The sequence below is a fragment of the Homo sapiens genome, chromosome 1, assembly GCF_000001405.40.
Source record: "Homo sapiens chromosome 1, GRCh38.p14 Primary Assembly".
Taxonomy (NCBI): domain Eukaryota; kingdom Metazoa; phylum Chordata; class Mammalia; order Primates; family Hominidae; genus Homo; species Homo sapiens.
In genome coordinates, this window is record NC_000001.11 from 232,228,162 (window position 1) to 232,254,178 (window position 26,017).

General features: G+C 41.1%; 3 annotated features.

The window, feature by feature from the left end:
- Positions 5,925 to 6,497: an enhancer, noted in NCBI's record as "OCT4-NANOG-H3K27ac hESC enhancer chr1:232369832-232370404 (GRCh37/hg19 assembly coordinates)". NCBI's record gives its function as "activates a minimal SCP1, AML or CMV promoter by ChIP-STARR-seq in naive H9 embryonic stem cells {active_cell/tissue: H9 hESC(naive)}" and the evidence as "EXISTENCE:reporter gene assay evidence [ECO:0000049][PMID:30033119]".
- Positions 6,498 to 7,070: an enhancer, noted in NCBI's record as "OCT4-NANOG-H3K27ac hESC enhancer chr1:232370405-232370977 (GRCh37/hg19 assembly coordinates)". NCBI's record gives its function as "activates a minimal SCP1, AML or CMV promoter by ChIP-STARR-seq in primed H9 embryonic stem cells {active_cell/tissue: H9 hESC(primed)}" and the evidence as "EXISTENCE:reporter gene assay evidence [ECO:0000049][PMID:30033119]".
- Positions 24,489 to 25,098: an enhancer, noted in NCBI's record as "OCT4-NANOG hESC enhancer chr1:232388396-232389005 (GRCh37/hg19 assembly coordinates)". NCBI's record gives its function as "activates a minimal SCP1, AML or CMV promoter by ChIP-STARR-seq in naive and primed H9 embryonic stem cells {active_cell/tissue: H9 hESC(naive and primed)}" and the evidence as "EXISTENCE:reporter gene assay evidence [ECO:0000049][PMID:30033119]".

Sequence of the window (26,017 nt, forward strand, 5' to 3'; positions counted from 1 at the left end):
ACATCAGGCTGGATTTTTTAGAGGCACTAATGTATCTAATTTCCATGAAGCTTTTTCAAAGTAATTTCAAAGTATTCTCCCCATTTTACAGTAGGGGAAACTGAGACTCAGCAATATTAATTGACTTACCCAATTGATGGATAGTAGGTAAATTTGAACCCAGGGCTACTCAGCTCCAAAGTACATATCCTTTCTATTTACATAGCTGTCATTAAAAAAAAAAATCTAACAACGATAATGATGGCAATGATAACTCTAAAAATGTGTAAGATAAGAAATTTGAAGCACAATTATTTACAAATATTTTATACTTTTAAAAGACTATTCATTTCAGGTTTCTGAATGTCTGTATAAACATTAAACAATAGAATTTTCTGCAGTGAACATAAATATAAAAATTTTCTGCAGTGCACATAAATCAGGTAGTCACAAGATACAGAGAAATACTAAGCACTGAAATTGTGTTTTATGTGATCGAGTATCTCAATTCTTAATTTTATTTCATTTTGAATAATTAATAATTAATTATTTAATTTCTATTTAAATAACCACATGCTGTATGCCTAATGGATCAGGCAGCACCAGATCTACATATTTATAATTATGATGCTCAAAGACAAGTTCAGAAAGAGGAAATTTTAATGCAAACATAGTGCCAAAGTTGATATTTTTCGTTAATATCATTAATGAAATTCCTAGAAAATAGATGAGTCTCATGTAATTGCAGACTTACCCATGGGTGAGTCTTTATATTTATACTGTGGATTGAGAGTTAGTTCTCATAATGAATTCCTACATGCCATCAATGCCCAAATGGATTTAGGATACAATTTTAATTCTCATGTCTACAATTCTCACGTTGACAAGGGACACATTTTATTTTATAATAGTAAATTTAAATATGGCAGAGGAAAGGATTTTTTTTTCACTACACACACACACACACACACACACACACACACACATCTTTCCTGAAAGACTTTTTTTTTAAATTATAAACATACAATCCAGATTCCAGTTATTCTAAAAACCAAACACTTTTTTTGTTGTTGTTCTTTATTTTGTAATGTATGATAGTGTGTGATGTGGTTTGGCTCTGTGTCTCCACCCAAATCTTATATCAAACTTTAATCCCCATATTCCCCATGTGTCAAGGGAGGGACCTAGTGGGAGGTGATTGGATCATGGGGGCAGCTCCCTCTTGCTGTTCTCGTGATAGTGAGTGAGTTCTCACGAGATTTGATGGTTTTATAAGTGTTTGACGATTCCTCCTTTGCACATACTCTCTCTCCTTCTGCCTTGTGAAGAAGGTGCCTGCTTCCCCTTCTGCTGTGATTGTAAGTTTCCTGAGGCCTTCCCAGCCATGTGGAACTGTGAGTCAATCAAATCTCCTTTGTTTCTAAACTACCCAGTCTCAGGTGGTTTCTTTATAGCAGTGTAAGAATGGATTAACACAATATGTGAATTTCATGCGCGTCCGTGTGAAGAGACCACCAAACAGGCTTTGTGTGAGCAACATGGCTGTTTATTTCACCTGGGTGCAGGCGGGCTGAGTCCAAAAAGAGAGTCAGTGAAGGGAGATAAGGGTGGGGCTGTTTTATAGGATTTGGGTAGGTAAAGGAAAATTACAGTCAAAGGGGGTTGTTCTCTGGTGGGCAGGGGCGGGGGTCACAAGGTGCTCAGTGGGGGAGCTTCTGAGCCAGGAGAAGGAGATTCACAGGGTTAATCACGCAGTTAAGGTGGGGCAGGAACAAATCACAATGGTGGAATGTCATCAGTTAAGGCGGGGCAGGGCCTTTTCACTTCTTTTGTGATTCTTCAGTTACTTCAGGCCATCTGGGCGTATACGTGCAAGTCACAGGGGATGCGATGGCTTGTCTTGGGCTCAGAGGCCTGACATTCCTGCCTTCTTATATTTATAAGAAGAATAAAACAAAATAGTGTTGAAGTGTTGGGGTGGCGAAAATTTTTGGGGGGTGGTATGGAGAGAGAATGGGCGATGTTTCTCAGGGCTGCTTCAAGCGGGATTAGGGGCGGCGTGGGAACCTAGAGTGGGAGAGATTAAGCTGAAGGGAGGTCTTGTGGTAAGGGGTGATATTGTGGGGATGTTAGAAGAAACATTTGTCGTATAGAATGATTGGCGATGGCCTGGATAAGGTTTTGGATGAATTGAGAAACTAAATGGAATAACAGAAGGAGAAAAATAGGTATAAAAGGTCTAAGAATTGGGACGACTCAGGATATCTGATTAGAGAGTGCCTAAAGAGATTCAGCATAGTCCTGCCAGCAAAGATTATTTATTTACTTCAAGAGTTAAGAGTGGCAGTCTGGGGATAGCACCAGGAGATATCAGCTGTGACGGCTTGGAAACACAGTGTAAACCGGCAGTGTAAACAAGAGCAGGGCATGTATGAGTAGTTGAGAACGGTGAATAGGAGAGTATGACTAGATAGAAGATAGTAGGGATGACAAGTTTTTTGGGGCACAGTCTAAGTTGGTCTGGTGTCTGGAATGAGACTGGGGCCTAATAAAAAGGAGCAACTATACAGGAGCTTAAATGGGCTGTACCCTGTAGCATTCCGAGGACAGGCCTGAATTCTGAGAAGGGAAAGTGGTAAAAGTATTGTCTAGTCCTTTTTAAGTTGGTGGCTGAGCTTGGTGAGGTGTGTTTTTAAAAGACCTTTAGTCCGTTCTACTTTTCTTGAAGATGGAGGACCGTAAGGGATATAAAGGTTTCACTGAATACTAAGAGCCTGAAAAACTGCTTGGCTGATTTGACTAATAAAGGCTCGTCTGTTATCAGACTGTATTGAGGTGGGAAGGCTAAACTGAGGAATTATGTCTGACAGAAGGGAAGAAATGACTGCTGTGGCCTTCTCAGACCCTGTAGGAAAGGCCTCTACCTATCCAGTGAAAGTATCTACCTAGACTAAGAGGTATTTTAGTTATCTGACTCAGGGCATATTGAGTAAAGCTAATCTGCCAGTCCAGGGTGGGGGCAAATCCTCGAGCTTGATGTGTAGGGAAGGGAGGGGGCCTGAAGAATCCCTGAGGAGTAGTAGAATAGCAGATGGAACACTGAGAAGTTATTTCCTTGAGGATAGATTTCCACGATGGAAAGGAAATGAGAGGTTCTAAGAGGCGGGCTAGTGGCTTGTACTATAGTATAACCTGCCTTTGCTGGTGAGTGGCGATTAGGCCTGGTGGAACCGCCAGCAATAAATCAAGCGTGATCAGGGTGAGGAACAGGAAAGAAGGAAATTTGGGGAAATGGGGTGAATGTCAGGTGGATCAGAGAGATACAGTCATGGGGGTCAGGTGTGGTATCAGGAATAATGTGGGAGGCCAGATTGAAGTCTGGGCCAGGAACAACGGTAATTGTGGGAGACTCAACAAAGAGTGAGCACAGCTGAAGGAGCCGGGAAGCAGAAAGTATATGTGTCAGGTGTGAGGAAGAAAATAGATTTTGGAAGTTATGAGAACTGTAGAGAGTGAGTTGAGCATAGTTTGTGATTTTGAGGGCCTCTAAAAGTATTAAAGCAGCGGCAGCCGCTGCACGCAGACATGAGGGCTAGGCTAAAACAGTAAGTTCAAGTTGTTTGGACAGAAAGGCTACAGGGTGTGGTCCCGGCTCTTGTGTAAGAATTCTGACCGCCCTAACCATGCCTAGGAAGGAAAGGAGTTGTTGTTTTGTAGAAGGTGCTGGGGTTTGAGAGATCAGTCGGACACGATTGGCAGGGAGAGCACGTGTGTTTTTATGAGAATTATGCCGAGATAGGTAACAGATGAGGAAGAAATTTGGGCTTGATTGAAGTAATGGGGGCTGTCTGTGAAGCTTTGCGGCAGTACAGCCTAGGTAATTTGCTGAGCTTGATGGGTGTCAGGGTCAGTCTAAGTGAAAGCAAAGAGAGGCTGGGATGAAGGGTGCAAAGGAATAGTAAAGAAAGCATGTTTGAGATCCAGAACAGAATAATGGGCTGTGGAGGGAGGTATTGAGGATAGGAGAGTATATGGGTTTGGCACCACGGGGTGGATAGGCAAAACAATTTGGTTGATAAGGTGCAGATCCTGAACTAACTTGTAAGGCTTGTCTGGTTTTAGGACAGGTAAAATGGGGGAATTGTAAGGAGAGTTTATAGGCTTTAAAAGGCCATGCTGTAGCAGGCAAGCGATAACAGGCTTTAATCTTTTTAAAGCGTGCTGCGGGATGGGATATTGGCGTTGAGTGGGGTAAGGGTGATTAGGTTTTAATGAGATGGTAAGGGGTGCATGATCGGTCACCAAGGAGGGAGTAGAGGTATCTTATACTTGTGGGTTAAGGGATACAAGAGGAGGAGTCAGTCAGAGAGCCCTGGGCCAGAGTTCCCGGGGCTCTGGGAGTGGCTGCCAGGTGAGTTGAACAGTCCGATTTTCAGTGGGGTCCCACATAGATGGGACGCGGCTTAGGAGGAATCCTGGGCTGCGGGCATTCCTTGGCCCAGTGGCCAGATTTCTGGCACTTGTAGCAAGCTCCTGTGGGAGGAGGTTCTGAAGGAACGCCTGGCCGCTGCGGTTCAGGCGTTTGGAAGTTCTTGTGTGCTGGAGATGTGGCTGGGGTTTGTCTCACAGTGGAGGCAAGGAATTGCAACATTTTCTATTATTGTACACCTTGAAGGTGGGTTAATTAAGTCCTGTTGTGGGGTTTGAGGGCCAGATTCTAATTTTTGGAGTTTTATTTAATGTCGGGAGCAGATTGGGTAATAAAATGTATATTGAGAATAAGACGGCCTTTTGACCTTTTAGGGTCCAGGGCTGTAAAGTGTCTCAGGGTTGCTGCCAAACGAGCCATGAACTGGGCTAGGTTTTTATATTTGATGAAAAAGAGCCTAAACGCTATCTGATTTGGGATAAAGAAAAAGGAGCATTAACCTTGACTATGCCTTTAGCTCTAGCCACCTTTTTAAGAGTAAATTGCTGGGCAGGTGGGGGAGGGCTAGTCACGGAACGAAACTGTAAGCCGGAGCAGGTGTGAGGAGGGGAGGTGATAAAAAGATTATAGGGTGGAGGAGCGGAGGCTGAGGAAGAATTGGGACCTAGCTCGGCCTGGAGAGGAGCAGCCTGGGGAGGAAGGGACAGGTCAGATAGGTCTGTAGAAAAGGGAGATTAGAAAGACTCAGCGATGCTTGGGGTTGGTACTGAGGAGACAGGTGGGAGGGAAAGAAGGAAGGTTTGGGACAAGTTGCACTGGGCACAGAGACTAGGAAGGGACTGATGTGTAAAAGAATGCCTGGACATCAGGCACCTCAGACCGTTTGCCTATTTTATGACAAGAATTATTTAGATTTTGCAGGATGGAAAAATTCAAAGTGCCATTTTCTGGCTATTTGGAACTACTGTCAAGTTTGTATTGGGGTCAAGTGGCATTGCAGAAAAAAATAAGGCATTTAGGTTTTAGGTCAGGTGTGAGTTGAAGAGGTTTTAAGTTTTTGAGAACAGAGGCCAAGGGAGTAGAAGGAGGAATGGAGGGTGGAATGTTGCCCATAGTGAAGGAAGCAAGCCTAGAGAAAAGAGAGAGTAGAGAAATGGAGGGAAGGGGTTTGGGGGTTCTTACCTTCCAGAAAAGTGGGAAAAGGGGTTGGGGCGCAGAGATAAGAGGTCGGGGCGTGGAAATAAGGGATTGGGGCGCAGAGATATAAGAGGTTGGGGCACAGAAATAAGGGATTAGGGCACAGAGATAAGAGGTTGGGGCGTGGAAATAAGGGATTGGGGCACAGAGATAAGAGGTTGGGGCATGGAAATAAGGGATTGGGGGTTCTTGCTCCATAGAAAAGCAGGACTTGCCACTAAGGGTGAAGGAGAAGGGGTTGAGGGATACTTGCCCCTCTCCCAGAAAAGCAGAGAAGGGGTAGAGACAAGGAGAGAAGGGGTTGAGGTACTTGCCCCTTTCCCGGAAAAGCGGGACTTGCAGCTAAGGGTGAAGGACCAAGACAGGCTTCCCTGAGTGGTCTGACACCCTTGAAACGTGGGTGTATAATCAGAGAGGCGTCCCTGCAATGATTAAACACCAAGGGAAGGCTGCCTTCCCAGTCCGTGACCGGCACCAGAGTTTTGAGTCCACGGATAAAACGTGTCTCCTTTGTCTCTCCCAGAAAATGAAAGGAATTGAAATTAAGAGAAGGGAGAGATTGAAGAGTGGAAAGGAGAAAGTGGTTGAGGGACAATGAGAAAGGTTGGAGAAGAGAGTAAGAAGAGGCCGCTTACCTGATTTAAAATTGGTGAGATGTTCCTTGGGCTGATCGGTCTGAGGACCTGAGGTCATAGGTGGATCTTTCTCATGGAGCAAAGAACAGGAGGACAGGGGACTGATCTCCCAAGGGAGGTCCCCCGATCCGAGTCACAGCACCAAATTTCATGCGCGTCCGTGTGAAGAGACACCAAACAGGCTTTGTGTGAGCAACATGGCTGTTTATTTCACCTGGGTGCAGGCAGGCTGAGTCCAAAAAGAGAGTCAGCGAAGGGAGATAAGGATGGGGCTGTTTTATAGGATTTGGGTAGGTAAAGGAAAATTACAGTCAAAGGGGGTTTGTTCTCTGGCGGGCAGGAGTGGGGGTCGCAAGGTGCTCAGTGAGGGTGGTTTTTGAGCCAGGATGAGCCAGGAAAAGGACTTTCACAAGGTAATGTCATCACTTAAGGCAAGGACCAGCCATTTACACTTCTTTTGTGTTGGAATGTCATCAGTTAAGGTGGGGCAGGGCATTTTCACTTCTTTTGTGATTCTTCAGTTACTTCAGGCCATCTGGGCATATACGTGCAAGTCACAGGGGATGCGATGGCTTGTCTTGGGCTCAGAGGCCTGACAGTGAAGATACGACCTCCAAGATGTTATCAGAGAGACTCTGACCCACAATCGCTCAGATAGGTTACATTTCCCCCCTGTGCAGGGGAAGCTATTTCTGCTTCATCCAGATCCCTTTCCTGGCTGTCACCCATCCCTCAAATGCTGTGAGTGTTGCCTGCTAATGGCTGAAAGCTGTCCCTTCTCTAAAGAATGGCCATGGAAAAATGGGAACCCCTAGCCCAGGAGATTACACCTTCCTACATTCCACCCTCATTCATCTTTAGGGAATGACAGGCTGATGGAGGAGCAGGTTCCAAAAGACCAATCTCCCTAGTCAAAGTAGAACCAATTTTATGGTGCAATTCTTGCTCCAGAGCTTCCTGTAGGATCAGGCTGTTGGTAGTCTCCTGCTGAGACTATATCTTTCCTTAACTCCTTGTCATAGTCTATTCTGGCTGCTATAATAAAATGTCATAGGCTGGGGGGTTTATAAACAACAGAAATTCATTGCTCACAGTCTGGAGGCTTGGAGAGCCAAGATCAAGGTACTGGCATACTCAGTGTCTGGTAAGGGCCCACTTTATCATAGGTGGTGCCTTCTCTGTGTCCTCATATGGTGGAAGAAGTGGACAAGCTTGCTTGGGGCTATTTTATGAGGGCACTAATCTCATTTCCGATGGCCCCACCTCCTGCTACCATCACTCTGGCAATTACTTTTTTAACATGTGAATTTTAGAAGGACACGAATATTTAGACCATCACCCTCCTCCTCGGTCCTATCTTACTTCCCCATCCCTTCCCCAGATACCACAAGCTCAATAAGTCACATGCACCTGAATCCTTGTCTCAGGTCCTGCTTCTAGGAAACCTGCCTAAGACGCCATCTCAAGGACCTGAGTTATTTGCATGACCGAGAAGTTGCCTGTCAATGTCTGGGCTCACATGTTCCTCCTCAGAAAAGTATAGAAGGTATTTTCACTAATAAGCTTTGAGAAACAGTAAACTTTTGTTTTTTCTTTTCTGTGCAAAAATTTATCTAAGACATTCCAGAGGCAAAAGGGTTATGTGATATCACCACAGCCTAGATTTAGAATACAAACCCAACTACAAAATTGAGGCTGTCACTCCTGCCTAATCAGTCAAAATGGAAGTGGTCAATTGGAGTAAGTATATATTCTGGCTACAGTACAATTTAGAGAGGCATAATGGCTAATTTTATGCATCAACTTGACTGGACCACGGGGTGCCCAGACATTGGGCTGACCATTATTCCCATGTGTCTATGAGGGTGTTTCTGGATGAGATTAGCATTTGATTCAGTAGACTGAGTAAAGCAGATTGCCCTCCCTAATGTGGGTGGGTCCCATCAATAAGTTGAAGACCAGAATAGAACAAAACAGCTAAGTAAGAGAGAATTCCTCCTGTCTAATTGATTGAGCTGGGATACTGGTCTTTTTCAGCCTTTGAACTTAGTTTAAAACACTGGCACTTCTTGGGTCTTGAGCCTGCTGGCTTTCAGACTGGAACTTACACCATCCACTTTCCTGGCTCTCAGGCCTTTGGACTCAGACTGGGAGTATCCTATCAGCTTTCCTGGAGATTTGGCTTGCGACTATAGATCTTGGAACTTCTCAGCCACATAAACTCATGAGCCAATAACTTATAATGAATGCCATTTTTTATCTACATGTATTCTATAACCAGATAGATAGATTGATTGATTGATCATCAATCATAGATAATCTCCTATTGATTGTGTTTCTCTAGAGAACCCTGCCTAATATAGAAGGTAAATTTTACATAAGCTGATTGTTTAAGATTTAGATTCAATAGAAAAGGAGGCAAAAGAGTACATAGCAGGTTTTATATATAAAGTTATGATAACAACATCTCATTTCTTAAGCATACAAGTACACACATGCACACACACACACGCACGCGCGCGTGAAGGGCTTAGACCAGAGGAAAGGAAATATGCATTCTGTATGTCCTGTGTTGGCCCCAGTCCCACTGACTATTAAACAAGAACAAAAGCACTTATTTAGAATATACAATGATTTGGTAGAAAACAAAGTGTCAATTTATTCATCCATATTGAGAAATAAAACCATCAAGCAGATTGGATTCTGATGTTTGCTGTTCAGTTTATTCTACCCCTGCAGGCAAATTTACAGGGGAAACTAAATTAAAACTAGGATCTTTTATTGTCTGAGGAGCAGAAGGGATTTGGATGACTCTCCACGCAGAAGTCACTCATCTATGACTACCTGACTTTCCGCTCTTCCTGTAGGGCATGCCAGCTGCAGAGTGGCTTGGACCAGGCCTCTCTCCCCTGAGCAAGGATAGAGGCCCCTTGCCAGCAGGAGCCTCTCTCGTTGTCATTTTTCCGGACTTTCTTGGCTGGCCAGCTCCCTTTTGTCTAACTGCCATATTTTATATGTTTTTTCTGTAACTTTTTTTGGTCTTGTTTATTTTTTTATGATGTCAAAGATATATGATCATTTATAAAATCTTTGGACGAAGTAACAATTTCTCACCACCTAGAGATAATCACTGAGAAATGAGAGCAAAGTGAGTACCTGCCTTGTAGTGAAGAATAAAGGAGCATGCATGGAATTGAGGACATTGCCCAGGGCATGGAAGAGCTCAGAATTATCTTTCTCATACCTTTTTAAATATTCTTATATCAAGTTTCAGCAAACTTTTTCTTTAAATAGCCGGATAGCAAATAATTTAGACTTTGTGGGTCCCATGGTCTTGCAACTACACAACTCTGTCACAGTAGTGTAAATGCAGCCACAGATACTGTGTAACGAATGGTTGTGTCTGTGTTCTAATAAAACTTTATTTACAAAACAGCCCGCATGCCACCTTTGGCCCAAGGGCCATAGTTTGCCAACCTCTAATCTACATCATCATCTAAAATGGCTCCAGAGTAAATAATGTATTTTATTATTAAGAAAAACTTTTATTTTCTGGTAAAATAATTTACAAATGCTTCTCTCTTTGCTTTTCAAATGTGCCTTTTTTTCAGTATCAGGATCAATTTATAAATAATTGCTCAATATAACTTCTGGGTGTGCTTCAGGCATGAGAAGTGGGGCATGTTTCCTGATGGCAAGTGTTGACAGAACATCTACTCGGGCAGAGTGTGCCCAGTGACCCAGCCATCTGTCCTCTCAGAATGCACCACACGGGTTTCCTAGAATGCATACACAAGGGTATTCATGGCAGAATGGTGTAATTCCCAGGAGCTGAATGCAATCCAAACACCTGTAGAGTTAGAAAGGATAAATTGCATATTATAACATAAAATATTATACGGCAATGACAAAGAACTAACTACAACTGCATGCAACAGCATGGACGCCTCTCACAAACATAATGCTGAGTGGAAGAAAGACAGCATGCAAGCAATTTGATTTTATTTTCATACAGTTCAAAAACTAATCCATGATGTTGAAATCACATAAGTGGTTTTCCTTGGGAGAGAGGTAGTTAGTGGCTAGAAAGGATAGGAAAGGGCTTCTGGGGTGCTAATAATCTATTAGTCTGGGGACTGATTTCACAAGCAAATTCACGTTTATGAAGGTCTATTTAAATGTGTTAAAAATTACAGCAGTTATTTTAACAACTACCTTTATGAAAAGAAAGCCACATGGCAGTCACTGTGCACTTGACACCAATTGTCTATGTCATCCTCACAAAACTCCTCCAAGGTGTTTTCTCAGCCCCATTTTATAATGAAAACCAAGGCTCAGAGAGGTTAAGAAACTTGCTCAAAGTCACACAGTTAGTGAGTGGCTGAACTTGATGGTATTCTGCAAACAGACACCAGGATAAAAATATACAGCTTTAAGAAATCAGTCTATAAACTGGGTATCCTAGTGGCACCATGTTATGAGATTTTTGAAGAGGGAGAAATCTTGGAGATGAGAGACGGAGGTGACACCTGTGCTGTGTTGAGAGGCAGGAGGAAAGAAGGAGGTGTATGCGCAAGGCTGAAGCGCCTCAGTATCTAAGTACCTCCCCCTCCCCTTCAGTCTGTACTGCCACAGTTCAGACAGGGGGATTGGAAACAGAAAGGTTTCTCCTGCTCAGCTCATTGATTCCCTTTCAAAATATACACCAGCTCTAGCATGGCTCAACACGGAAGCAATGATTTCTTCTGGAAGGAAGCAATGATTTCTTCTGGAAGGAACCAATGGTTCCAGAATGAATCCACGCACAGACATGGCCTCTGTGGCTATGGTCTTAGATGTTACATTTGTAATCAAAGCAGAAAAAGCCCTGACTCTGGGTGAATAAATATGGATAAAAACTAAGAAATCCATTTAACCAGTCTTCTCTAGAACTACTATAGGTCCAATTCTGTCCATTGGCCCCTCCTCTCTCCTAGAAACTCGTATTAAAGAGTCAGTATTTGCAAGCTTGGTGCTAGACACTACAACATCTTATTTTTTTAAATGATGGTCTCAATGTAACCTGGCTCATATAGAAGCTTGTGGAAATATTCATATGTCCCCAAATAGAAATAGGAGAGTCTATGACCCAATAAACAAATACTGCAAAAAACTTGTAACTTTGAAATAAAGTGTATCTGCAGCACAAGCAGTAGAACTTGAGAATTTGCAACATTTATCTGAATCCCTGAAGGTATCAATAAACTTTTATATGGGGCAAACAGTCTAGATGCTAGAAAATATACACCATAATGTTTTATGTTTTATTTAGCTTCAGTACATAAATCCCCCCGGTCCCCACAGACAAGTACTGGTGGGCTATGACTTCCGGCATTTAAAGGGATTCTCAGACATTTATCTTAGCCATTCCAGTGTGATGCTTTCTCTCTTTATTGTGGTATCAGTTACTTCGGGCTTTGGGGAATTTGTGATTGCTGTTTTCAAAATTCTCTTTGCAGAATTTAATGAAGTCAAAATTATACAAAAGAATCATTTTTGAGAGAAGTGAGTCATCTATGTTCTCTATCCGAAGTGCACATAGAAATCCATTGCTTTAATTGTATCTTCTCTTTCATACTGGTTTGTTTATGTACATATATGCCAGCAAAGAAATAGCTATTATGGCTGTAAATTGTGCCTGATACGAGATTAATAGCTATAAAAATAGTCCTCGAGGGAATTAGGGGTCTGGTTTAACCATCTCTGTAATGTTCCTACTTCAAGAGCAATATTTCACGGGTGTTGTAAAATTTATAAGACTATATTCACGAGGTCTGCTTGGTTCCAACTAGACAAGACTGGTTGTTTATCTTAGCATTCAGTGTCTAATAGGAGCTGCCTTCATGATATTCCAGGTGTCACAATAAACACACGGTACGAGTGTTTATAGAAGCTGTACTCAATACTGGATCACAGAGCTTACTCTGAAGGTGAAGGAAGAGATCAATAAAAAACTGCCCTCCTCCTTCAATAATGACTCAGGAGGGCAGAGGAGGGTAGCCTGGACATGTTGGGGGAGGAGAGGGTCAGGTCATCATAACTGCCACTTCATTAACCCCCCACAGGCTGGAGAGGAAGGGGGAATGGAATATACGCTATGTGCCTCTCATTTTTGGGCTGAAGGCATACAGCTAACTCTACTGGTGTGCTGAGACAGCTTTTACCAGCTCTCAGGAGCGTATTTCTAAATTTTCAGAAATTTTGTGAGCCTGTTGTTCAACACTGCCTTTATGAAAAATTGAATCATGCAAACTTACAATTAAATAAAATATACTTAACAAAATTAATAAATGCTCAAAATTCTTAATTTCCTAATCATTGTGCTACATTTTACTATTATCTATGCTTAGTCTTTATCTACATCTCTTGTCTATAAGATGGAAATACTGAAATGGTATGCAACTGGACAACTGTACAAATTTTCCTGGTTGTACAACCGCACAGTCAGGAAAATCAGGTTGGTAGCTTGTCCCTTGCTGGGAGTATTTACACCACAGAAACTGGCAAATACTACATCTCTTGGTGTGTGTGTTTGGTGTGGGATAGCCAGTTAAACATATTCCATTGGTCTATATGTCTGGTTTTATGCCAGTACCATGCTGTTTTGTTGCTATAGTTCTGTAGTATGATCTGAAGTCAGGTAATGTGAGGGAGTTTACCAGCACACCATAGCCGAATCCCCTTTTTGCTGTGGTTTTTTTCCTAACACCCTAGTTGCTGATCACAATCGCCACTTGTATCCCCTCCTCACTTTCTCTGCCATTCTCTGGCTACCATTTCTTGGAACAGTTGAACAGGCCTTCCTGCTGTGGTTAAAGGAGAACCAAAAGAAGGAAAGATGAAAAGATGGTTGCCATCTTCCATGTGGCCCTTCATAGTGAGGTAGCAGACTGGCAGGACTTATTTCCTGGTCCCAACAGGATGAAATAAGGAAACTGGCTAGAACCAGCATATGGCACTGAAGGTAACCTCTGGTTGCCCTCACTGCTCATCGGCACTCACACTCATATTACCTGGCTTCAAATCATACTACAGAGCTATAGTAACAAAACAGCATGGTGCTGGAATGAAAATAGACACACAGACCAATGGAACAGAGTAGAGAACCCAGAAACAAGTCCATACACCAACAGTGAACTCATTTTCAACAAAGGTGCCAAGAACATACACTGAGGAGTCTCTTCAATAAATGGTGCTGGGAAAATGGGATATCCATACACAGAATGAAACTAGACTCCTATTTCCTATCTCTTGCCAAATACATAAATCAAATCAAAGTAGGTTAAAGACTTATATTTACGACCTCAAACTGTGAAACTACTACAAGAAAACATTGGTGAAACTCTCTGGGACATTGGTCTGGGCAAAAATTTGACTAATATCCCACAAGCACAGGCAACCAAAGCAAAAATGGACAAATGGGATTACATCAAGTTAAAAAGCTTCTGCATGACAAAGTAAACAATCAACAAAGTGAAGAGACAACCCACAGAATGGGAGAAAATATTTTCAAACTACCCATCTGACCAGAATATATAAGGAGTTCAAACAACTTTATAGGAAAAAAATCTAAAATATGTTTAAAAATGGGCAAAAGATCTGAATAGACATTTCTTAAAAGAAGACACACAAATGGCAAACAGGCATATGAAAAGGTGGTCAACATCATTGATCATCAGAGAAATGCACATCAAAACTATAATGAGACATCATGTCACTTCAGTTAAAATCTCTTAAATCCAAAAGACAGACAAAAGCAAATACTGGTGAGGATGTGGAGAAAAGGGAAGCCTCGTACACTGTTGGTGGGAATGTAAATTAGTACAACCACTATGGAGAACAGTTTGGAGTTTCCTCAAAAAGCTAAAAATAGAGCTACTATATGATCCAGCAATCCCACTGCTAGGTATAGACCCAAAAGAAAGGAAACCAGTATATAAAAGAGATATCTGAACTCCTATGATTGTTGCAGCCCTGTTCACAATAGCCAAGATATGGAAGCAACCTAAGTGTCCATCAGTGGATGAATAGATAAGAAAATGTTGTCCGTATACACAACACAGTACTATTTGGCCATAAAAAGAATGAGATCCTGTTATTTGCAACAGCATGGATGGAACTGGAGGTCATTAAGTAAAATAAGCCAGGTGTAGAAATGCAAACTTCGCATGTTCTCACTTATTTGGGGGAGTCAAAAATTAGAACAATTGAACTCATGGAGGTAGAGAGTAGAAGGATGTTTACCAAAGGCTTGGAAGGGTAGTGGAGGGCTTGGGGGACAAGTGGGGATCGTAAATGGGTATAAAAAGTAATCAGAAAGAACGAATAAGACCAAGTACTTGATAGCACAACAGACTGACTATATATAGTCAATAATAATTTTTATTTTTATTTTTTATTTTTTTTTTTGAGATGGGTCTCACTCTGTCACCCAGGCTGGAATACAGTGGTGCAATCATGGCTCACCGCAGCCTCGACCTCTCTGGGCTCAGGTGATCCTCCCAAATAGCTGGGACTACAGGTGTACACCATCACACTTGGCTAGTTTTTTATTTTTATTTTTTGTAGAGACAGGGCTTTGCCATTACCCAAGCTAGTCTCAAAACCCCTGAGCTCAAGAGATCCACCTGCCTTGGCCTCCCAAAGTTCTAGAATTACAGGGATGAGCCACTACCCCCCGCCTTATAGTCAATAATAACTTAATTGTACATTTTAAAATAAAGAGTATAATTAGTTTGTAACACAAAGGATACATGTTTGAGGGGATGGATACCTCATTTACAATGATGTAATTATTACACATCGCATGTCTGTATCAAAGTATCTCATTTACCCCTTAAATATATACACTATGTACCCACAAAAATAAAAAATAAAGACACTCCCACCAGCGCCATGACAGTTTACAAATGCCATGGCAACACCAGAAGTTAACACCTATTTTCTAAAGGTTTCTGGATAACTTGCTCCTTAATTTCCTTGCAATTAAAAAGTGGGTATAAATACAGCTACCCAACAGCCTATGGGTTAGCCTTGCTCCTGAAAAAGCAGCCACTCTGCTGTACACTGCTGCTTCAATAAACCTACTTTCCTCCACTGTCAGCTTGCTGTTGAATTCTTTCCTGAGTGAAGCCAAGAACCCTCCCAAGTTAGGCCCCACTTTTGAGGCTCACCCGCCCTGCCTCATAAATGTGGATTAAATTCCCATTATTAGTGTCCACTGTTGTCATCCCAAGGCCTGTATGCCTCCTCCTGCCCCACTCTTCCACCCACAGCCCCTCTCTTTCTGCATTCCCATGCCCTGGAGAACCTCATACAACACTCTGGTTTTGGGGCAGAGGAAGCAGGAGAGCAGGAAACAGCAGAAAGAGCATGGATACAGGTGTCAGAAAACCAGGATTTTTGAGCCAATGGTTTGCCACTTTTTAGCCTGTGATAAGTCACATGCACTGTGTGAGCTCTATTTTCTCATCTGAAGAATGATGTGAGAGTAATATCTTCCAAGCCTACCTTATGGAGTGCTGTGTAATTTGGTGCAGTAATGAGTACATGAGAAGGTGATCCATAAACAACCACTTTTACATTTCTGGGTCTTCAATATGTCCCTGTTAAAAAGTATTTTTTGAATACTCTACAGAAATAACAAGCACTAACTGAGTTTTGTTGAGCATCATAAAATGTTAGAACTAGAAGAAATCTTTCAGATAATCTATCAATGTATTGTTCAGACTTAAGGAAAATCCCAGATCTGCCTCAAATCTTGCCCTCTCAGAAACTATTTTACATAAAACCAAAAGGCTTATTTGGAACCTTTGTGTCATGAGAAACAAAGACTCATTCAGTTCTTTCAGGAGGAAAAATAGAGAGAGTAGGTTATTACAAAGGCACACATGGACTGTGGAGGTGAGAGCTCATGGAAATAATAGTAACACTGATAATAGCACTTTAGTGCTTTCTATGTTCCATATATTATTTCTTTTCATCTTTGCAACAAACGTATGAATTGTGTTCTACATTTTCCAATTGAGAAGACAGAGGCTTAGACAGGTTAAATATCTTACACCATTGCACAGCTATGTTGTGCCAAACTGAAATATGAACTAGGGTCTCCAGAACTGTGCTTGTAACTTGTATGACATGTTCTTCCATGAACACAAACTTCAGGGCAGCTGGTCCCCTGGGAACCAGTGCCAGGAAGGGTTTGCTGAATGACACAGAGAAGCATGATCTCTCTCTTGTAGCATCTGCTTCTCTATCAGCTTCTGTGCTGTCCTTTGCTCCCAGGCTTCTAACTTCAGCTTGCTGGACTATAGTGATGACTGCAGCTCCAACAGAACTTGTCCTTTTATTAACTCAGTCTCTGGGTTTTCTAATTTCAACTGCCAAGAGTGAATTCACATTGGTCCTGCCCATCCTTTCTAGCCTGGCCATAAGTTAATTTCTGGATTAGGTCTCTGTTCCTGCTCCAATCAGCTGTGGGCATGTGGCCTGGAATAGCATGTTTTGTACACCCATTCTTTTATTTGACCTCCTAGAGCTTCTCATATTCTTCCTTTTTATAGCTATTTGTATATTCATTTTAACTTCTCTTCTTGACAAAAAGAACCAAAAGTACCGACTGATTCAGCTTTGTTTCCAGCATTTGACACAGTAGCAGGTGTTCCAGGAGGGTTAGTTGAAGAGGTAAACTATCCTTTGGCATATGGAGAGGCCAGATCTACACTAGTGAAGATAAGTGTATAATTTAAGTAGTAATCCAGGGAATTGAAGGATTTATTACTTTGCTTCAATTCTTTGTTTCAGTGAGAGAATAAAATTATTGGTCTTTATTATTTAGATTATTGGGTCAATTTTCAGTTTTACTTGACTGATATCCATTTGGTGCAAGACATCAAGAGTAAGTTTTTTTTTTTTTGGCAATAGTCAGGGTATATCAATAACCCAGAAAAGAGAAGCAACCGCTGGTGTCTCCTAGCCCTCAGGTGGTTCTGGGCTAAGCAGGAAGGAGCACACTTACTTCTGCTAACTACCTCTGGTTCTTTCCATCTAGGCACACAAGAAGACTTCCAGACACTCTTCGCAGTCATGTTGGGAACATGTGATTAGTCAGATGTCTTATTCTGTTTTTTGTTGCTTATAACGGAGTACCTGAAACTGGGTAATTTATAAAGGAAACAAATTTATTTCTTACAGTTCTGGAGGCTGAGAGGTCTAAGGTCGAGGGATTGAATCAGGTGAGAGACTTCTTGCCAGTGGGGACTCTGAAGAGTCCTGAAGCAGCACAGGGCATTGCATGGTGAGAGCACTGTGCTAATGTGCCAGCTCAGGTCTCTCTTCCTCTTCTTATAAAGGCACCAGTCCCACTCCCATGATAACCCATTAATTCATTAACCTATCAAACCATTAATCTATGAATGGGTTAATCCATTCATAAATGCAGATCCCTTATGACCCCATTACTTCTTAAAGGCTCATTCCCTCAATATTGCCACAAAGGGGATTATGTTTTGACATGTATTTTGGAGGGGATATCCAAACCATAGCATCAAGCCAACAAACCCTGAGTAGAAGTGAGGGGAGTCATCTCCCTTCAGAGGAAATTAAAAATGGATCTGAGTATTCTATGCCCCTTCTCTTCCCTACCACATTAGTGGTGGAGGCTACCTGTTGAGATGGTAGAGCTGCAACGTGAAAACATACCCTGGAGAGTCACCTGACATGTGCCTTACTTTGTGTGAGCAAGAAATAGACCCTGGTTGTTCTAGTTTTTGAGATTTGGAGGTTAATTTGTTACCAAGGAATACCATCACCTTTCCTGAGGAATACCAGCTTTCTAAACTATCAACTCATAGCCCTGGCCTGACCCGGACTTGCTCAGAGGCTACCTTCCCCCATTCAGACCCTGTTAGGGTGGGTAGCTCAGTGACTGTCAAGTAGCAGTCATGGTGAGCACAAGCTTTGAATTAGATCCACCCAGATTTGAATCATCTTGGATACTTCGTAGCTACAGACCTTTGGGAGAGTTAAATTCTCTGTACCTCTTTTTTGTTTGTTTGTAGAAAGGAGGTGACACAGTGTCACAACTCATGAGGCAACTCATATGGATAAAATGAGAAAATGCATACTTAGCCTGCCTTCTTTTAGTTTAGAGTCCTTCCATTTCCCTTCATGTCTACTATGTTCCATCTCTCTTAAAGTCACCCAATGCAGGGACCATCCCTGCATTGCATCCCATAGTCTCTACTAGCATAGTTACATGCACCTACTACAATTCTGCTGAATTAAGTTATACTTAACTTAATTAAATTGGAAGATGAGGATGACCTGGAAACCAGCTTTAGCAATGGCCGGTCTTGACAAACCCAGATACTAATTGATGTAGCCACACTTTGGTTCTGCAGTGGCCAGGTGATATGGACATTCCAGAAACATTTAACAATTTATTTGCAAGCTCACCATGACTTTGAAGTGATATATTGTTCTGCATAAGTGTTCATTGAGTGACTCTAGCCTTAGTGAGGGTTCTTTATCCAAAAATCATCCTTTGGGATTAGATATTGGGCCATCATTGAATGTTCTGGTTCTTCTATAGATGATCTTATAAAATTACAAGACTTGAGTCCAAACTTTTATCCCACATAAGCATTTTTAAGATTATGTAGGGTAATAATTAGTTTCTGAATAAATTGTGGGTGTGGGTGTGTTGGCTTCATGAGGCCAGATGTTCCCTAACAGTCACACTTGATACATCTAGACAGTTTCCCCAGAGCATCTCACAATTTTTGCATTCACTCCAGGTAGTTCCAAAAAATGACCTCAGTTCTGCAGATTTCACTTTTAGAAAAAAACTAGACTTCCATATGTTTCCTAAATAGGAATGGAAAAATAACAGGCAAGAAATTACATGTGTGAGAAAAAGTAGTTAAAAGTCTCCTATTAAAAAGCAAAAGTAAATTTCTTGAGGCTTTAATTAAACAAGATATCAAGCAAAAAATCTTAAGTAAACTATAACCTTTAAATATTCATTTTCAAAGGAAATCCAGATGTAGCAATAGATTTGTACAAAATTCCTCCTAGCCATATATTCTGACAAACTTTGTGTCCTCAGAGCCGGTCTCATATTATGTATGGCACTAAAGGTATCTTATACAAGTGCCATAGCTGATCTTTGAAAGAGCACCCTTTTGATATGCATTCAAGATGTAACTATTGTCTTCTACTAGATAGTGGTAAGAACCCAAAGCATTTCTCCTGATTTTTCCCCTAAAGCCTTCAACCACTGGATTTGGAAGAAAGACATTGAAAATATCATTTCCACACAACGTACTGCACTCAAGCAACATTCAAATCCAAGTCCATTGGGATTCCAGTCAGAAGCCATCAGCAGTGGCCTAAATGTGTTGGGACCTTCTCTCTGCTCTGAACAGATGTGGTTAGAACTAACTAGATGTTAGGTCTTTGAGAGTCCAATGACGAGGACACTTGTGGAAAAAAAAGCACTCACATGACGAGAGTCTAATGAAAAATGAAACTCCCTGCCTCTGCCCTCCATTTCATTCATTTCATTTGTGCTTTTATGAGAACTCATGTTTATAGGGAAGCTTCTGTTTGCTTCAGCTCCTGGCAGCTGCTTTTGTTTCTCTTCCTAATAAGTCGGTGTTGGAAAAGAGAGATAGATGGGCATAGAGATCTAACAACTTTTGCAGGCTTGACAGAATTTTTTCCACACAATGGTTTTTTTTGGAAAATGTCCTTAAAAGAGGTCTGTATGGTCTCATCCAGTTCCCTGTTCTTTAACTTTTGTGTGCAGATGAAACAGACACTTGGTCAAATTGCCCCAAAGGGCTCCACAGTCCCTCTGGAACTGTCTGTGATAGAAGGAATACCTTAGCTCCCAGGATGCTCCTCCTACTATGAACTAGAGTCTTTCCTATTCTTGTTTAATTTTTTTAAAAAAATGTTGTCCATAGTGGATGTCAACAGGTGAATGAGCAATTCATTTCTATACTCCCTGTTTTATTCCTCCTCTACCTTTTTCGTCCAGTCCCCAAAGGAGGAATTCAGACCGATGTAAATCAGAAAGCACCACAGACTCCACTGTGAGCTGGAGACAAGGAATAAAATCAGGAAATGCTTAACTCAACAGGCAATCTCTTTGCTAGCCAGGGCCGTCTAATTAAACAGCTGATTGAGTGCATTCACCCACATCTCCTGCAGCAGGCATCATAAAATCTCGGCGCTAAGCTACAGTACTTATTTGAAAGATTTTTCACACAGTATTAAGGAAGAAACAGCTTTTACAAAATCACAGCTACATTGCCTTTCTAGTGCTAATGACCAGGTTCAAATATGAAATATCACTTTCCAGTCCTCTGACCTCTGTCTTTTGAGGACCTAGCGTTCACCTGACCTACACAACTCTCAGCGAACCCCAAGCCAAATTAGACCTGAGCAAGTGAAAATTACAAAACCAGCAATTCTCTTTCCATTGGTCTGTCAGCATGAAGTGCCCACTTTCCCTGCAGTGTTAATAACCAAATATGAAATATTTAAATGGCTGCAAATTGCATCAATTAAAATTGTTTCCATCCCAAGTAAGCACAGATTGCTTAGCTGTTTTGACCCAATGTCTTTTTATGTTTGATATACTTTCTTAATTAAAAAGTGCACAATGATCAAAAAAGCATGGGTAATTGTAGCATTAAGTATTTTTTTAAGTGCAAAATAAAAAAAAAGAAAAGGCTGAGGTTGAACTCTTTTGTAACATATCAACTTCATGCATTACTGCTTCGTTATTTTGAAAACATAACAAACCATGGATATGAGGGGTGCTTTTTGATGCTAAAGGTGACCTAGGTTTCTCTGTCTAGGACATGATGACTGCTTGGTATGACCAGGCCTTAAGGAGAGGAACAAACACGTAAGGATGTCAAGGGAGGACGCTTCAAAATGAGCCCCAAACACAGGGGCTTCCACAGATTGATGTAGTCTTTTAACAAATCAGATCAGACCAGTTTTTCTTCTGTTTAATACCCTCCAATAGCTTCCTATTGCATTTAGAACAAATCCAAGCTGCTGACCACAGGCCATGGGGCCCCACAAGGCCAGACCACATGCTTCCTTCCCTTTCTCCCACTCACCTCTCTCTAGCCACATTGGCTGACTGTTTTCTGGGAAAAAGAGATTATTTATTTTTTTTCAGAGGTAACCTTCACCCTTTCACTTTCCTCTGCTGAAATAATCTTCCTCAGAGAATTTTCAGGACTTCTGGCTCTCTGTCTTCCTTTAGTCTCTGTTCAAATACTCTCTCTTCAGAGAGATTTTCTCTGACCACTTAATCTCCTTCCCTGCCCCCTCTCACTGCTGACACTCTATCCTGTCACCCTGCTGATCTCCTTCATCCCACACAAGGCTCTCGGAAATGACTTCTTTGACGATCATGTTCTTATTCAATACCTGTTTCTTATTCAATACCTGGTGAATCTTCAGAACCTGGAACGGCGCCCTCATAGAGCTGCGCCAAGCACTGCACTGAAATGATTAACTCGGGCTCCACACCCAGGAAGCCTGTAGATGTAGGTTCCTTCTGACTTAAAATGGAAGGGAATTCAGAAGACGCAGGCCCCTCCCAGCCTCTGATCTGCTGACATCCTGCAGCGGGAACCCGTGATGTGATGGCTTCTTTGCTATTGGGAGATAAGAACCAGAGGAGTTTACTTGGATAACTGCATCTGAGGGAAGATGCTTTAATAGGGACAGTCTACCAGTTAATGGTGTGTGTGTGTGTGTGTGTGTATAATAACACACAGCATACAATGTATACTTACATATACGTATATATGTATGCACATGTAAGTATACATTGAGCACATATATTTCCTTACCTGTCCAAATGTTGAATGTTCTATTACAACATCTAATGAAATGGTACCTCTGAGGGAAAATGAAAGATTGTCTTTTCTTACGGGCTGTTTCCATGGTAGCGTAATACCCTTGGGCAGCACCCTAATGATGAGTTATTACTTTTTAGCTAAAACACATTGTAGGGAACCAATTAATAATATAACTTTCACAGCGAAACAACAGGTTAATTTTTCTTTCATTTATTCTCAGATGCAAACATGCACAGACATATGTGTAATAATTTATCCCAAGCTCTGACTCACTCATCTTTGCTCTTTCTTCACTGAGTTAGCAAAAGAAGGGAAAAGGAGGTGATATTGACCCTCTGGGAATCCCTCAGGCAAAAGATGTAGGTGGCATCGCAGATGCTGCCCTGAGAAAGAGTGTTTTAATCATGAAAGTCCCTTTCTAAAACTGCCAGGCCAAGTGTTCTAGCAGCTATATTATGTCAGATGTGATTGTACCCATGGTGCCTCTTGAGCTGCGTATCAGAAATGATAGTACAAAATGGTTTGACTGTTTGCAAGGGCTTCTGACAGAGATGCGTCTGACATAGTGAGAAACCTCTTCCTGGAGGAGTGGCCAAATCTCTGTTTGGCCAACTGGCCTTGGAGGCTTAGGGTGGTATCTTCCTTGTGATCAAGATGCACAGATGGCTCAGATTAGCAGAATCGCCTGCAAGGGAGAGGAGATGACAGGGATTAGTACAGAGTGGAGCCGAGGACAAGGCTGGGACAAGGCAACATCAGGCTGTGCCCCATGGGCTTCCAAGCAGCTAAAAGGCTTATGGATTTCTCTCTTAGGAACTGGGAATGTATTTGGTAGCTTAAGAGGTTAAATCCCTGGATTTCATGCTGTTTCTACATTTCTCAGATGCCTTTGTCCTCTTCCTTCCAAGTCCCATTTCTTCAGGCAGACCTGGATGTAGAGAGGCCATCAAACTTATATATTATCCACAAAGAAAAATAATCAACAGAAATAGTTCACATGTTCATATGTTCATGAGGGGTTAGGAAATCTAAATCCCCCAATGCATACACATCAGATTATCATCTTTGATTTGAGGTAAATATTTTCAAGCCACATGTTTATCAAATATAAAGAAAATATAAGATAATGAACAGTAGGGAAAATACAATAAAGAACTAAAATATCCTGCATCTCCTGCCCTACAGCTGCTGCTACATGGAGATTGAAAAACAAATAAAAGACTGCAGCCGTTGTGAAAGTTACTGACACATTGTATTCTAAAACTGATTATATATTTTGTTCACAGCCCATGGAGAAAGTTGGATAAAGAAAAATAGAATATTCTATTAGTAGATATATCTATATCATAATGTAGTTCACTTCAAAGTTCAAAAGTAAACCAACAGAGAAATTTATCAATAAATAATACTTTAACTGGCCCAAATAATTTTCAAAGATTTGTTAAAATGGAATTGATAATCATTTTTACATAGTTTGATACATACAAAAAAAAAGATGTGCCTACATATTTTCTAGAAATAGCTTCAAGTGACTACCAGGTGAAGAGTAAAAAGAAAACGTAATGACATATCTCGGAGAAGGGAAAAGGTTGATATGTTTATAGAAAAGAGAAGAACGACTGTTCTTGAAAGAAAAGACAAATGTTTATAGAGCATCTCCACATGAATTCATGGAGACTCTTTTATTTCACCCTCAAAGGAACTCCGACAGGCTTCCCTGTGTCCCTCTCACAGATGAGGGGAGTGAGCTCAAAGCACTGAGATAATTTGTCCAAAAGGGAAAATGACTGATTATGCACAGCAGTAGATTCTGAGCCCAGATTCATTAAAGCTAAGGAATTATCACATTTGGTAAGTTCTCACCTAGATGCTTTTACATTTCTACAGAGGGCAGATAGCAACTGAAAATAAATAAATCAAAATAAGAAAATTTAGGTTATAATTTTCTAAATGTCTTTTTTTCATATTGAATTGATATTTATTTCAAGACATGCCATGTCAAAATAAAACAGAGTCCACCCTTGCCTTTAACAATAATACTGCATTAGAAAAGCACTTTACAAATGCCATCCCCTCTTTAAGTATAAGTTACGGGTACGTGGGCTAATGATTACCCGAAAGCATCTCCTTATCCAGATCCTTAATTCAAGTGCTCTCTGAATATTACAAGGTGACAATAAGTGGGAAGTGTAGGAGGAAGAGGAAAAAAAGTGGACCGTTTCTTCCAGTTAAGGGTTTTATTGCAATGAGGGGATAAGGAAGTATGAAGATATTTTTGTTGTCTTTTCATCTTTATACTGTTGATATAGTTTGACTCTGTGTCCCCATCTAAACCTCATCTTGCAGCTCCCATAATTTCCACGTGTTGTGGGAGGGGCCCCGTGAGAGGTGATTGAATCACGGGGCGGGTCTTTCCCGTGCTGTTCTCGTGATAGTGAATGGGTCTTACAAGATCTGATGGTTTTAAAAATGGGAGTCTCGGTGAGCAAGCTCATTTTTTGCCTGCTGCCATCTGCTTGAGATGTGACTTGCTCCTCCTTGCCTTCCGCCATGATTGTGAGGCCTCCCCACCCATGTGGAACTGTTAAGTCCAATAAACCTCTTTCTTTTGTAAATTGCCCAGTCTGGGGTAGGTCTTTAAAAGCAGGGTGAAAACGGACTAATACAACTGTGTGAAGTAATGCTTACAATAGAAATTCAGCAGGCTTTTCCTGAGCTGTGTCTCAGTTTTCTTCCTGAAAGTAACGTATTTACAAATGTGTAAATTAGCTTACACAACAATCTCACAGTAACTGGTAAAGATTAAAAGGGTGCACTCCTACTATATTTGTTTGCAGTGTTTTAAGAAAAATACATATTGCCATGGTGATGAAGCTCTAAATAGATCTAACAAAACATCTGAAAATTGAAAGCAGTTTAAAAAACAGGGCAAAGGAATAAATATCACCAAAGAAAAAAAGATTAATTGTAGGTTAAATGATAAACGAAATCACTAGTCAATCAGCAAAACTGTACAAGTCTAATAAAGAGCAAAACCAACCTAAAAGACCCAACATTTAAAAAAATGCTAAAATGTCATGTAAGAAGGAACTCAAATGGGTTGCAAGGGCAAAATAGCAATAAAATAAATTGGAATTAGAGATGTTTGGTCGTCAAAGATAAAGCAAATAAGTTGTGTCTATAGTGGGCCATAACTTGAAAGGAAGAGTAGAGTTTTTAAGTTTGTTGTTTGGACTATCCAAGACCCAAATGACTTTACTTTGGAGGTGATAAAATATAGGATTTAAGAGCACTGACTTCCGAGTCAATCTTCTGCTTTGTAATGCATGATTAGAAACCTCTCATTCTGATTTTTAGCTTTCTTATCTGTAAAATAGGGAAATTATATTAATTTTTAAGGTTTCTGAGAGTTTAAAAAGTGATACGTATGTTTTAAATTGACTAGACCTAAGATCACTAAGTTTATAGTCACAGGAAAAGATCAAGTGAAATAAGGTATTAAATGTTATGAAGAGTTACTCATTTCCTTAATTAATTGAAACGTTCATTTTTCAGTTTATGGTATTGAGACTTTGCACCAAGTTTTATGTTTCGCATGATCTATAAGAAGTCTTAAGAGCTAAGTTTCTGAACAAACAGAAAAATAACATAATTCTTGACTTCCAGTAATAAACTGAACAAAGGCAGAAGTCAGTAAGAATTAACAAAAAGGCCGGGCGTGGTGGCTCACACCTGTAATCCCAGCACTCTGGGAGGCCAAGGTGGGCGTATCATGAGGTCAGGACTTCGCGACCAGCCTGGCCAACATGATGAAACCCTGTCTGTACTAAAAATACAAAAATTAG